The 12,717-nt window shown below is 48.8% G+C and overlaps 1 protein-coding gene across 1 annotated transcript in view, besides 1 other annotated feature; it reads left to right on the top strand.

The window, feature by feature from the left end:
• The window catches only part of ENPP6 (ectonucleotide pyrophosphatase/phosphodiesterase 6), a 129,168-nt gene that overhangs the window by 106,446 nt on the left and 10,005 nt on the right, over positions 1-12,717 (top strand). The window lies entirely within an intron of this gene.
• Positions 8,638-8,932: a silencer, noted in NCBI's record as "tiled region #1728; K562 Repressive non-DNase unmatched - State 13:Ctcf". NCBI's record gives its function as "represses a minimal TATA promoter and a strong SV40 promoter by Sharpr-MPRA in K562 cells {active_cell/tissue: K562}" and the evidence as "EXISTENCE:reporter gene assay evidence [ECO:0000049][PMID:27701403]".

The following is a 12,717-nucleotide window of genomic DNA, read 5'->3' as shown; positions in this document are numbered from 1 at the left end:
ACACAGAGCACATATGTGGTCAAGCAAGTCACCTGTCTCACTGTATTCCACAACGCCAGCCTTCCAGATCACACCAAAGGGCTTACTGTTTGAACTTTTTTCAGTTTATAAAATTCTGGCAGAATTGCTTGGAATTTTTAAAAGCAAATATGCCCTGAAGGTTAATCCACAGCCATCAGTAATTTCTTAGCTGGCTATTTGCATCCGTCATTACTCTGTCGTCTTTAGCTGAAGTCACCCGTGCTGAGAGGCTGGGTGGTAGGGAGGGAGAGTATAAGAGCGCAGAAGTGATCGGGCATCTTGGTGGAAAACAGGCTTAGGTAGGGGAGTGCAGGGCCAGAGGTCACTATGGAGATGCTGGATGACTAATGAGGTGCCATCTCAATTCCAGCGAGAAAGGTCTTGGTCCCCTGCAGTAGGATGTGACAGGTGCTGGGGAAGCAGCTTCAGCCCTGAGTCCTCTCAGTGAAAGTAAACATGGTATCTCAGCAGCCACACGTCCGGCATGAAGATGCAGGGCCTTCCAGTGAGTGATGAAACGCAGTGCTGGGAGACCTCAAGGCATCCGTTAAGACGCTCTTGGTCATAAATCACAGCCCATTTGATAAATGTGGCTTAAACAAAAAGGATTTACTATCCCACATAACTAGAAGTCTGGAGGCAGGCAATTCCAGGATTGCTGAATCCAGCAACTCAATTATATCATGCCCCAAGCAAGCTCTTCTGCAATGCTCTTGGCTTTCTTCAACGTCACAAGGTGGCTGCTGCAGCTCCATGCATCACATCATATCCCGTCAGGACATTCCAAAGCAGGAAAGAAAGGGCGTGGGTTCTGTTTGTATGTCTCCTACTTTTATCAGGGAGAAAAATATACATACCAGAGCCAGGGCCAGACTCAGGTTTTGTAGGACTCTGAAGATTATGCTAAATGGGATCTCTCTTTAAGAAGAAAACATACACAGTTATGAATACAAAATTAGGTACAGGGATTTGGAAGAAGTTCACACACATGAGGAGCCTTGGTGCATAAGCTGTAAATCTGCTTCTGCCCAGAACCCACTAGCGGCTTCCCCTCAGTCTCATCAATCAGCTGACTAGTGGGGCTAGAAAATTCCTGCCTTGGGTCAGCTTTGGTTCTGAGATCTGAAGTTGTGCTGAAGTGCAGACCAGGGGGTCCCAATCACAGGACAAAAGTGAAACAGAGGCCAGGAGTCAGGTAGACTGGGGCCCCGAAACAAAGAACAGAAAGAAGGGGTGAGGGGAGAGCAAGAACAAACGGCAGCCTCTGCACCATTCTGACTGGTGCTGGCCCACTCAGGATGCCCAGTGACACGTCTGAGGACACGTCCTCCTTCCCCTGGCTCTGCTTCCATCTCCCCCTAATCCTTCCGTCCCGTACTCTGCTGTGGGTCCAAGTACCTTCTCCCTTCCATCTCCCCCACATCCTCCCGCCCCACACTCTGCTGTGGATCCAAGTACCTGCTCCCCTGTAGGAAACCGACAAATCAGCGTTGACCATGTTATGTTCTATTATATATTACTTTTGTATGCATTGACAAATCACACACACACACACACACGTTTGTCTGAATAAATCAGAAGTGAGACCATCAGTTAGCAAGGGCTAACCAGTACTGTATTGTATGTCTTAGGGAGAAGCCACAGAACAGAAAGGAAGAATGCTTAGCTATTGACAATTATTAGAGCAGCATTTTAACATATACAATCACTTCCAAAGGAAGATTTGAGGTAATTTCAAAGATAAGTGAAGTAGAAACTTTAAAAAGAAACAAAAGAACATCAGAAATAAGATAAATAGGGTATGAAAAAATAAGATTAGCTCTGAAAGATGAGGGTTGCTCACTAATACACTATCCATGGTGGCTCACACACCTTTAATTACTAATGATAAGGGCTGCGAAATTCATCTTCATGTATCACGCCCGGATCCGTAGCAGCTCTAGAATGACCCCTCCCCCAAAGCTTCAATGACATGCATAGAAAGTTATTTTACACCTTGCAGATAATAAATACATCAAGAAAAATGTCTGTTTAAATTTTAGTCAGTGACAACTACTGCATAATAATAGCTCTCTTGAATTAAGTGCATCCCAGTTCCTGTTTCGAATTCTCCTGATGACTCTGCATCATGGATATTGTTAGTTCTTTTTGTTTGTTTGTTTTGTTTTTTTTTGTTGTTGTTGTTGTTTTGTTTTTGAGATGGAGTCTCCCTCTGTCACCCAGGCTGGAGTGCGGTGGTGCGATCTCAGCTCACTGCAACCTCTGCCTTCCAGGTTCAAGAGATCCTCCCGCCTCAGCCTCCCAAGTAGCTGAGATTACAGGTGCCCACCACCCTGCCCAGCTAATTTTTGTATTTTTAGTGGAGATGGGGTTTCACCATGTTGGCCAGGATGGTCTTGAACTCCTGACCTCAAGTGATCTGCCCGCCTTGGCCTCCCAAAGTGCTGGGATGACAGGCGTGAGCCACTGCGTCCCGCTGCTATTGTTAGTTCTGAAAATAACATACAGCCAAACAAAATGGAACACACATGTGGTTCTGAGCTTCCAAGAAGCCAATTCAAAGAGAACAATCAGTTCCATTAACATAACTTACAGCACCTATGTCCATGAACACAAATGTCTCTCTGGAAACTCATAATCGTCCCTGAGTCCTGAGAGACACTGAGATATCTTTTAATGACTCTGCAGTTTCCTAGACTAAAGATCTTAATCATTTTACTTCTATCCTGGAATTTACAAATTTTTATTATTAAGACACCATATGTAAAAGCTATAATTTCTGATTCTACTTTAATATAACATTGGGGCTTTATTTATTTGTTTTCTGAGAAATCCCCAAAACAAGTGCCCATTCTTTCTTTATTGGCTTAAACTTCTTCCTTTGACATCGTTCGATTGTTCTTTATCCTTTCTTGACAGCAGAGAATTAAAAACCCCATTCTATATCCTCGTTTCTGCGTTGTGCCAAGGCTATTAATCTCTCACTTTCCTATTCGCTAAACTTCTCCCCAAATGGTAAAAGAATGTTAAGTTTTGCCCTGAAACCTATACACCCATCCACAGTGCATGCGATGACGTTTCAGGGCTGGCTTAGACTTCACATCTGTGGCATGGCAAGACTCTCGGCCCGAAAGCAGCCTCTCTGGGTCTGAGTTCGGCTGGCAGATGAGACTGGTTTCTGGTTTAGCCATGATTAGGAAAACAGCTGAGTCAGGACATGGTGATGCTGGGTGACAGCCACTAGAGTCCTGTCCCCCACTCCTTTCTGCCTGTAGCCGCCATCCCAGAAACATGGAAGATTTGGTTTCCTTGGTAAAAATGCCCTTCCCCAAAACACACCAACTTTCTACCATAAATTTAAGTCTTGCAGACTCTAAGGCGGCTGCACTAACAGGAAGACTTAATTGAGTTTATCTTTTTCTTAGGATTTCTTAGAGAGGCGTCACTGAAAAAGATAAAGACAGAAACAGATTTTTTTTTTTTTTTTTTATTGAGACTGAGTCTTGCTCTGTTGCCCAGGCTAGAGGGTAATGGCGGGATCTCGGCTCACAGCAAGCTCCGCCTCCCGGGTTCACGCCATTCTCCTGCCTCAGCCTCCCGAGTAGCTGGGACAACAGGCGCCCGCCACCACGCCCGGCTAATTTTTTGTATTTTTAGTAGAGACGAGGTTTCACTGTGTTAACCAGGATGTTCTCGATCTCCTGACCTCGTGATCCGCCCACCTCAGCCTCCCAAAGTGCTGGGATTACAGGCGTGAGCCACCACACCTAGCCCTGACTAATTTTTCTATTTTTAGTAGAGACGGGGTTTCACCATATTGGCCAGGCTGGTCTCGAACTCCTGACCTTGTGATCTGCCCACCTCAGCCTCCCAAAGTGCTGGGATTACACACAGTCATCCAGCGGGACTGCTGACCCTGCCATAGCAAAGCAAGGGCCCCCAGTTTGCCTCTGCCCCTGCACTCTTTAATAAACCAGCTGGATTTCCAACCGCTGTCAGTCCTTTCTCCAGCCTCCTGTCCTGAAAGGAGAGAAATCTGAAGTGTTCTTATTCCCATAGGATAAAACAGAAAGAGGTAAAGCACAGGCTGCCTCCACAGGTCCAGCCTGAGCCCGTCACCCCAGCCAAGCTCTTTGCTTCAAGGATAGGAAATGGGCCTTCCTCATGGAAGTCCTGCCTGAGACCTGTTCCCTGTCTTCTGGAAAGACTTTGCCCTGCATCTTCCCACAGGGGATGAAGATCACACTCTTCCCCAGAGCACGGAAGTCCCGCCCAGGTTGGCTCCACCGTGGTTCTCAGTGGGTCACCCTGCCACTCCCTCCCCCAGGGGCCTGGGGCAGGTTGGGTTGTCACAATGTCACGGTGGGCCAGGGACACTGAGGAGGCAGGCTCGGCGATGCTAAACTGTGGGAGAGTCAGGCACAACACAGCAAAATGCCAAGTGGAGAAGGGCTGTGGGTAGTCTGCAGCAGACTCAAGCACGCTCTTCCATCCCCGACCGTGAAGGCCGTGTGCCTCAGCAATCGTGCACCTAGCGAACCAGCAGATATGTGCTGAGTGCCGACTACAGCGACGGCCAACGAGAAGTTCTAATTCCACAGTGGGGAGCCACTGGGAGTCCTTGCCCCCACTCCTGCCCTCCCTGCTAGTGAAGGCACTAGACACTAAATAAACACGCATGCCACACAAATAAGTCGCCATGGTAAGAGCTGTCATGGACACAGAGAGTGCCATGAAAGAGGGTACTGGGGTGGGGGCAACAGGAGACCGATATAGATGAGGGGCTGGGGGGGCCCTCTCTGAGAAGGGAGCTTGAGGCTGAAACCCAGAGGAGGAGTGCTCAGTGGTCAGGCGGGAAGAGGAAGTGCTCTCCAGGCTGAGGGAATGGGCTTCTTGAAGAACCTGAGCCAGGAAAGACCTTTGAGAGTGAGAGGAATGGAAAGAATGGGCCAGGTGGCCAAGTGTGGGGAGCTGGGAGAGGGGACGTGGCAACAAGATGGGGCTGCTTAGGTAAGCAAGGGACCATTGGGCCAGGACTTGGTATTTTTTATTTTAAGACTTGGTATTTTTGTGGCCGGACATGGTGGCTCATGCCTGTAATATCAGCACTTTGGGAGGCTGAGGCAGGCGGATCACCTGAGGTCAGGATTTCGAGACCAGCCTGGCCAACGTGATGAAACCCTGTCTCTACTAAAAATACAAAAATTAACCGGGCATGGTGGTATGTGCCTGTAATCCCAGCTACTTGGGAGGCTGAGGCAGGAGAATCACTTGAACCTGGGAGGTGGCAGTTTCAGGGAGCCAAGACTGCGCCACTGCACTCCAGCTGGAGACAGAGAGAGATTCCATCTCAAAAAAAAAAAAAACAACTTGGTATTTTTGATCTTAAGTTCAGTGGGAAACCACAGGGAATTTTTACAGGGGAGGATCATGATCCATCATCTTCAGGGTAATGTAATTCATAGCTCATGGGAAGAACAGAGTTAAATAACTGAGGTCATGAGCAGTTCCACGAAAATCCTTACACTGACCCACTAAACAGACTGTCAATGTGATTTCATACACCTTTAATTAGTAATACTGGTTGCTGTGAACAACAATCTTAATTTTTCTTGCCTGGATCATCGTAGACTTTGGAAAGAGCTCCCTATGGCCCTCCCAAAAGTTTCAATGACATACACATCAAGTTATTTTATATTTTGCAGATAATAAAAATATGGGGATTTTAAAAAAAATTTTGGTCAATAACAACCATAACAATAGTGGCTATCTGGAATGAAGTACCTCCTCAATTCACTCTCTCTGCATTGTGGATACTGTATTTACTGAGTTAATGGCGGCTCAGCATTTTAGGTATCTTGCCTATGGTTACAAATCTCTGAGCAACTAACCCAGGACTTGAATTCAAGTCTAGCCATGAAGCACACAGTCCCATCCAGTTCTTCTAAGATGTTCTAAACATTTCAGCAGAATGTTCAATGTGTTTCTAACATCGTGTTTCCCAGTTACAGACTCACCCTTCTGGCTTCTGTGGGGTCTAGAGCTACATCTTGGCTCCTTCACACTTGCAGAAACAGAAGTTCTACCATCATCCTTTTAAATTTTCTTGCTCGTGTCATACTGCAAAAACCTCTACAGTTGTTCCAAGCCCAATTTATCTCCTTTTATTCTTCCTTACCCCAACCCCTTTCTTTCTTTCTTATCACCAACATGGATGATTTGCATAGACCCGAACCAAAATTTTTCTGGTTGTGAAAACAATTCTTCCAGTGCAAGACTTAAGTGTTGGGAATTTAGTGGTCAGGGAGGGGTAACCGTGCTCGCCCAAGTAACTTCAATCAGCCTAATAAATAATCAGTAGAATCTCTGGAATGCCCTCTCTGTGCCAATCCCTCCCTGTCCTTCAAAGCCCAACTCAAACACCATCTCTTCCAGGAAACACTCAAGAGTTGCTAATGTTCTCCAGCTTGGAATTTCTGTAAGACCTGATGCTACATTTGTTTGTCTGTTTTGGACTCTGCCTTGCCGGAGTGGAGGCTCCCTGAGGGCAGGTCTTTGGCATCTTGACCTTTGTTTCCCATCATAGAACTTGTACACAGTAGAGTCTCAGTAGATGTTAGTGGGTGGTATGAATTATTAAATATTGAGACAGTTGATTCCTGACTACTTATTGACAGATTGTTCACTTGGTTGGTGTGTAAACCAGTCACCAAGTAAACAGAGAAGAAAGCGAAGTCAGGCTTTCAAGCTTGGTTAATTATTAGTAGCCCCAGAAGAAATTTCAACAGGGAAGAGGTGTTGAAAGTACAAATTCTTCTGACCTCAGTTGACCCAGAGCTACAGTCCAAGGGCAGGACACAGCTCTCCCCAGCCCTGAAGGGCTAATTCCTGCAGCCTCTCCTGGACAGTGTCCATTTTATGCCACCATGCTCACAAAGGTAGGATGGGGAAAGATTTCCCCAGAGCTAGGTGAAAGATCGTAGAACATGGTCTGGACCCCTGCCTGACTTGAGAGAAATGCAGCAAATTCAGGCCCAAGCTTCTAAAGGAGGCCAATATTTTTCTCCAGAGGAAAGACTTATTTTGAAAACTGGAAAAGGATATGAAATGCCAGGCTCAATTCTAAAGCCTGTGGTTGAATGGCTGTGAGGCCTGGACTCAAAATATCTGGGGAAATCAAGACAATCTGGAAAACGTGGCTTCGGAGCTTTAGTGACAGCTAGTGTGGTATTGTCCAGGCCTGCCTGAGCTTCAGAAAGTCAGATGTGGGGTGGGAAGCTGCATGCGTTCTGATGGTGACCAGGGCCATCTGTGGGAGCTGTGTGGGAGCACAGGCATACCCTCCTCAGCCTGGGCGCACTGCAATCAACGTGATTCAAAAAAAGAAAAGAAAAGAAAAGAAGAAAGAAACCCCATCCACTAAGTGCTTTTCTCCAGCGCTTTGCTCCACTCCGAGAATGTCTGCGTCGCCAGATCCCTGCTGACTTGGCTGCCTGCATTTTCCATTTCGAGGATCAAGCAGTGTGTGGCCAGGGGCTCGCTGGGGTCAGGCCAGCAGGCCGAGGCCTGAGCAATTACATTCTGTTTCAGAAAGACAGAGAAAGGGAAATGGTTAGAGGAACATCCCTTTGGAGCGGCATGTGGCAAACACATCTCCAAGGCTCATAACCACCACTCCCACGGGCTCCAAAGAGTCCTGCTGGCTGGAAGCCTCTTTGCAGGACAATTTAAAATAGCAATGCCACAAAATATGAGAAAGCGTGGTTTATAATAGAAACCATATCTTGACCTTCACACTAGCAGCAAAACCATCCAAGCCAGCCAAACTGTCATCATTTCACCAGCGTTTTCACTGAAGCCACCCATGACTTGAACATTGTTGGTGCCTTTTCTTAGACTGGGAGGATGTCAGAAGTGTATTGTATTTTCAGGGAGGTGGGAGGCTTCTGTTATAACCGTGTCCTAGAAGAAAAAAGTAGATTTTTATTAGGCCTCTAATACACCTTAGATAGGTTTCACCTTTTATTTTAATCTGACCAGATTTCAACGGTGTTCCCCAGTTCCCTGGAGACCTGTTGTGATGCCTCAAGGGAGAAAGGGAAGAACTTGGGTCCCTGACCCCACACCCCATGAGAATTATACTTTCAGTAGTTGAAAGGAGACACAATAGTCAAAATGTGTAACAACCAGCATCCCATGGGCGCCGGCCTTTGAGAATGAAGCACCTGTTGGAGCAGCTGGAGGGCCACCCTGGCTCCCGCCTGTTGGAAAGCAGCCCTGTACCAGCTGATCCTGTGCCTCATTCTGCAGTCCCTTGAAGCCCTTTGAACTTTCTAAGAGGGAGGCCCGTGTTGCTTGCCCAGTGCCACACAAAGGGACATGAGGCACAGTCCCTGATCTCAGGCACTTCTCAGAAAAGGACAATCATCCTTTCACATGGCCCATGGCAGATGCCAGGTGAGCAGCTTCTAGGGGTTCTCATGGCTGACTGCACATCCCGACCACCTGGGGGACATTAAGAAGAGATTCCTCAACTCCTCCTGACCTGCTGAATGCAAATATCCCGGAGCCAGGTCCAGGCTGAGCTCAGGGTGGTCCTTGAGCAGCCAGCATGGGATGCACCGGTGTGGACGGTGAGCACGCTGGTTTCCAGCAGGGAGCGACACTGTGGCCTCTGTGGGAAGGCCAGAGGGGCAGCACCAGGCAGAGCAGGAGGCACCAGGCAAGGCCCTGCAACAGCGCCTCTGCTCGGGGAGGGATGGCAGAGAAGACAGATTTCAACCCTCCAGCCACCTCGGGAGGAGACATTTAGGGATGCAGGACACAGCTGGAGGCCGGATGTTGGGCAGCTGTTGGCCACCAGCCTCCTCCGTTATTCTCCCCAGCTTAGCAACCATTCTCCTGTATATGGTGGAGAGAAATAGGAAGGAATGGGCAAGAAATATATATGATCATGTATTCCAAAAATGCATCATGAAAAGACAAGTAAATGCCCCTAGAGTTTGCCAAAGCCACACCTTGCCCATGTGAAGCGGCAAATAATAAACATGGACCACTCAGTGCTCCTCGCCTCGTCCTGTCCTTCCACCCCTCCCTCTGCCTGCACCTTCACTCCCAGCGCAGCCTCGCATTTCTGAGTGTGCTCCCCAGACAGCACAGCTCAGCTCAGCACTCAAAGGAATCCTACAATGCTGAATGCAAACGGATGGGCCCTGGCAAGTGTCGAACAAACTGTATTTACTGGGTTTCTGATTCGGAGGTAAAGCGCAAATGTTGCATTTTCTTTTCATTTTAATGCTAAGGATGATTGAGACAAAGGCCTGGTCTAGAAATTATAACTCTTATCTCATAATTATTCCTTGGCTTCCCAAATCAATGCAAGCATATAACAGGCATTATCATGGGGAGCTGGCGATGGAGTGCAGGCGCCCAGAGAGAATGCAGGCACCGGCAGGAAAGCGCGCAAGCCTGAAGGCACCCTCGCAGCGGCTTCTCACCGCGCGTCCTGGTGTGGGGCGACTTGTTTCTGGTTCCTTCCTGTTAGAAATGATTAACTGGTTGAGGGGCTCATCAAGGAGGGTCCTGGCATTGCTGTCTACCCCTGTCTAGAGGAGGGGTCCTGGAAGGCACTGGGAAGTGCTGAACATATCACCCTGGGTGAAGATGTTACCTAAATTCCTAATATAGTGCTGACTGTACAATGGCCAACTTGTCCTGGTTTGCCTGGGACTGTCCTGGTTTTCAAACTGAAAGCCTTGCATCCCTGAAACCCTCTCAGCTGCAAACCAGGAGAGTTGGTCACCCTGTTTGGTTGGCAAAACCTCGCTAGCAAAACAACCCAGTTCCTCTCACCTCCTGGCTCTTCCAGCTGTCTCTCTCTGATGGCAGCTTTCTTTCCATCTTTCCCACCCAGGTCATTCAAGGGCTCCTCCGCTCTTGGAGTTCCAGGATTCTGTCACTGCAGGACCCTTGGAGCGACCCCACCCTCTTTATTTGGACTCCCTGTGTGGACTCCTCATCCTGATTTCTCCTCCCCATCTCCCTACCCCAGTGCTACACACACACACACACACACACACACACACACACACACACACACACAAGCTCACACACATAAACATTAACACACACGTGCAACACAGACACACATAAACACACACTCACATATACACACGCACACACATGCTTACACTCATGCACTCACACACTCTCATACACAGGCACATACACACTCATGCACACACACATTCACACACACATGCACACATGTGTTTACATGCATGTAGGTTGCATGCACACAGCTGCGTCCCCACTGACTGACTCTCCCCTCGGCCTCCTCCTGTGTCCCCACTGCTGAAGGCCTCCCTGGGGCCTGAGCCTCCCTCCCTCCTTCAGGCTCGGGCACCCACTCCTGGCACTGACTTACTCTGGAGTCAATGCCCAGCAGCTGCAGCCCCCTTCCTCCCTCACTAAAGCTGAGCTCTGTTAGGGGAAGGAGCCGCCCTCCACCTCTGTGGCCCCGACCCCAGAAGCCTAGCTGAGTTCCTGGCACGAATCCAGAGCTCAGTCCACATCCGTAGAACTGAATAAACCGGCCCTGAAATCATGGGCTTCTCCCACATGCTGGCAGGGACGTTCCACCATCGCCTGGGACTCCTCTTACCTGGGGCACCCCACTCCTTCTCTGCCTGCATGGAGTGAATTCCCTCCCCACCAGTTGAGGAGTGGGGAGACACCCCCTCCAGCACACATTGCAGGAGAACCGGGTGCTTCCTTTCACCCTGGGAGTTGGCTGCCCACCCTACAGTGGGATCCCACTTAGAGGCCCCACTCTGCCTGAACGCACACACACAAGCCCACCCTCTACCCTTTTTTCTCACCTTCGGCCAGATCTGGAGGGCTGGGGCGCCTCCCCGGATGTCACTAGGTGGCGCTGTGTGGCAGTCCCTGGGCCCCGCAGTGGCTGGATGGGGTCAGCAGGCCAACCAGGAGCTTGCGGATCCACAGATGGACATTCCCACTGTGGAGGTGGAGAGGTGTGTGGCGGGCCCTTCTTCATGGGCCTGGCCTCAGCTGTATGCCCTTGAGAAGATAATGTGAGGTACAAAGCAAAGGTGCTAAAAGCCACTGGCAGAGGAAAAAGAAGGAAATCATGGCTGCAGCATTGTGAAATGAAGGCTGAGTCCATCACTTACACCACACAGTTACCTGTGCACCTGACCCGCCAGGTGGCTATGATTTTTTCATCAGTAAGAGCAATTGTTTTTCTGGGGCAACTTGTTATTTTAATAAAAATGAGTGGATTTACCTACGACTAGAAAGATCCAAAATCACTTTCAGGGCTGGGGTTTTTCACTGCTTTGTGTGTTTATTTGTGGAATCTAGGCTGTAAGTCTTAAATCAGGCCATCAGTCTTCACCTATCTTGCTTCTGTTCTTTGCCATGGGGCACACACAGACTATGAGGTTCATAATTGGTGAGGTTGTTAATAGCAAAAGTGTTCTACTTCGTGCTTCAGTGCTCACCGCCTTGTAGACTGTGAGAGGGAGAAGCAACACATTAAATCAGCTGACGAGACTAAATTGGGATGTGTTGTGATCATCACCATGGACAGATAAGGAAGAAAAAGAGAAAGTTAGAGATGCAGTAAGTGAAAGAAACCTTCCCATGGAAAAACACGAACCACAGCTGGAGAAGGAGGGACGAGGGATGCGGGAAACTCAGGAAACAGAGAAACTTGGAAAGCTGCAATGCGAGGGGGCGATTTATGGGGTGAGAGCAGATGGCTGTGCAATGTGATATGACAGCTAAATAAGCACAAGCAGGCTCAGCCCTCACAACCCACACTGCCCGGCTGCATACTGCCCGGGCACCTGGCCCCATGGCCAGGGGCATCTGCGGACCAGACCGTTGCCACCTATTGAACACCTATTGTGTGTCAGGGACTTAGCACACAGTCATGACATCCCCCACAGACCCTGCAAGGTGGCCAGGACCAGCAGGGAGACTGCAGCTCAGAGAAGTGAAACAGCCAAGATCCCAGAGCTAGAAAGTAGCAGCTGGAATTTAACCCACCTAACTGCACCAACCCAGTTCCAAAATCCTGTTAGTGCTTTGTGTCTGGCCACACTCCGTGAGTGAGGATGTGAAGTGCAAGGTGACACCTCACTGGCCGCTGCCAGCAGGAGCACTGCAGTGACCTCTGGCAGTGTGGAGTGGAAGGGGCCCAGGCACCGGGAGATAGATGACCTGGGTTCCAATCCCAGCCCTGCCTTGCACTAGCTGTGTGACTCTGACTGTCACTTAACCTCTCTGAGCCTTAGTCCCTTCAACTACAAAATGGGGCAAATGGTATCATCCCCACTGGGATGTTGTGATGGTTCAGTGGACGTTGGTGTCAGCTTATGGCGAACTGCTTGGCTCACTAAACACATGATACTAGTCTTGTGAGCCAACCTGTAAATTGCTGGTAGCTTAGTGGTCTTGATTCTACTCATTCATCACGACCAGCAAATTCTACCTCCTGCATTTGAAATAGTAAATATTTGTAATATTGAAACCTGCCTAGCAAGGATGGGCCGTTCGTCCTTGGCGAGGTCTTAGAAGAATGAGTGGCTTCTGAGGTGCATGGCTAGGCTTGTGCTCAGCTGGCTGCAGCCTCTGTAGGACTTGCAAAGCCTTCTCTCAGCCCTCTAT

This window comes from Homo sapiens, chromosome 4 (assembly GCF_000001405.40).
Source record: "Homo sapiens chromosome 4, GRCh38.p14 Primary Assembly".
Classification (NCBI taxonomy): domain Eukaryota; kingdom Metazoa; phylum Chordata; class Mammalia; order Primates; family Hominidae; genus Homo; species Homo sapiens.
The sequence above is the reverse complement of the archived record's forward strand: the minus strand, read 5'-3'. Positions and strand labels throughout refer to the sequence as shown.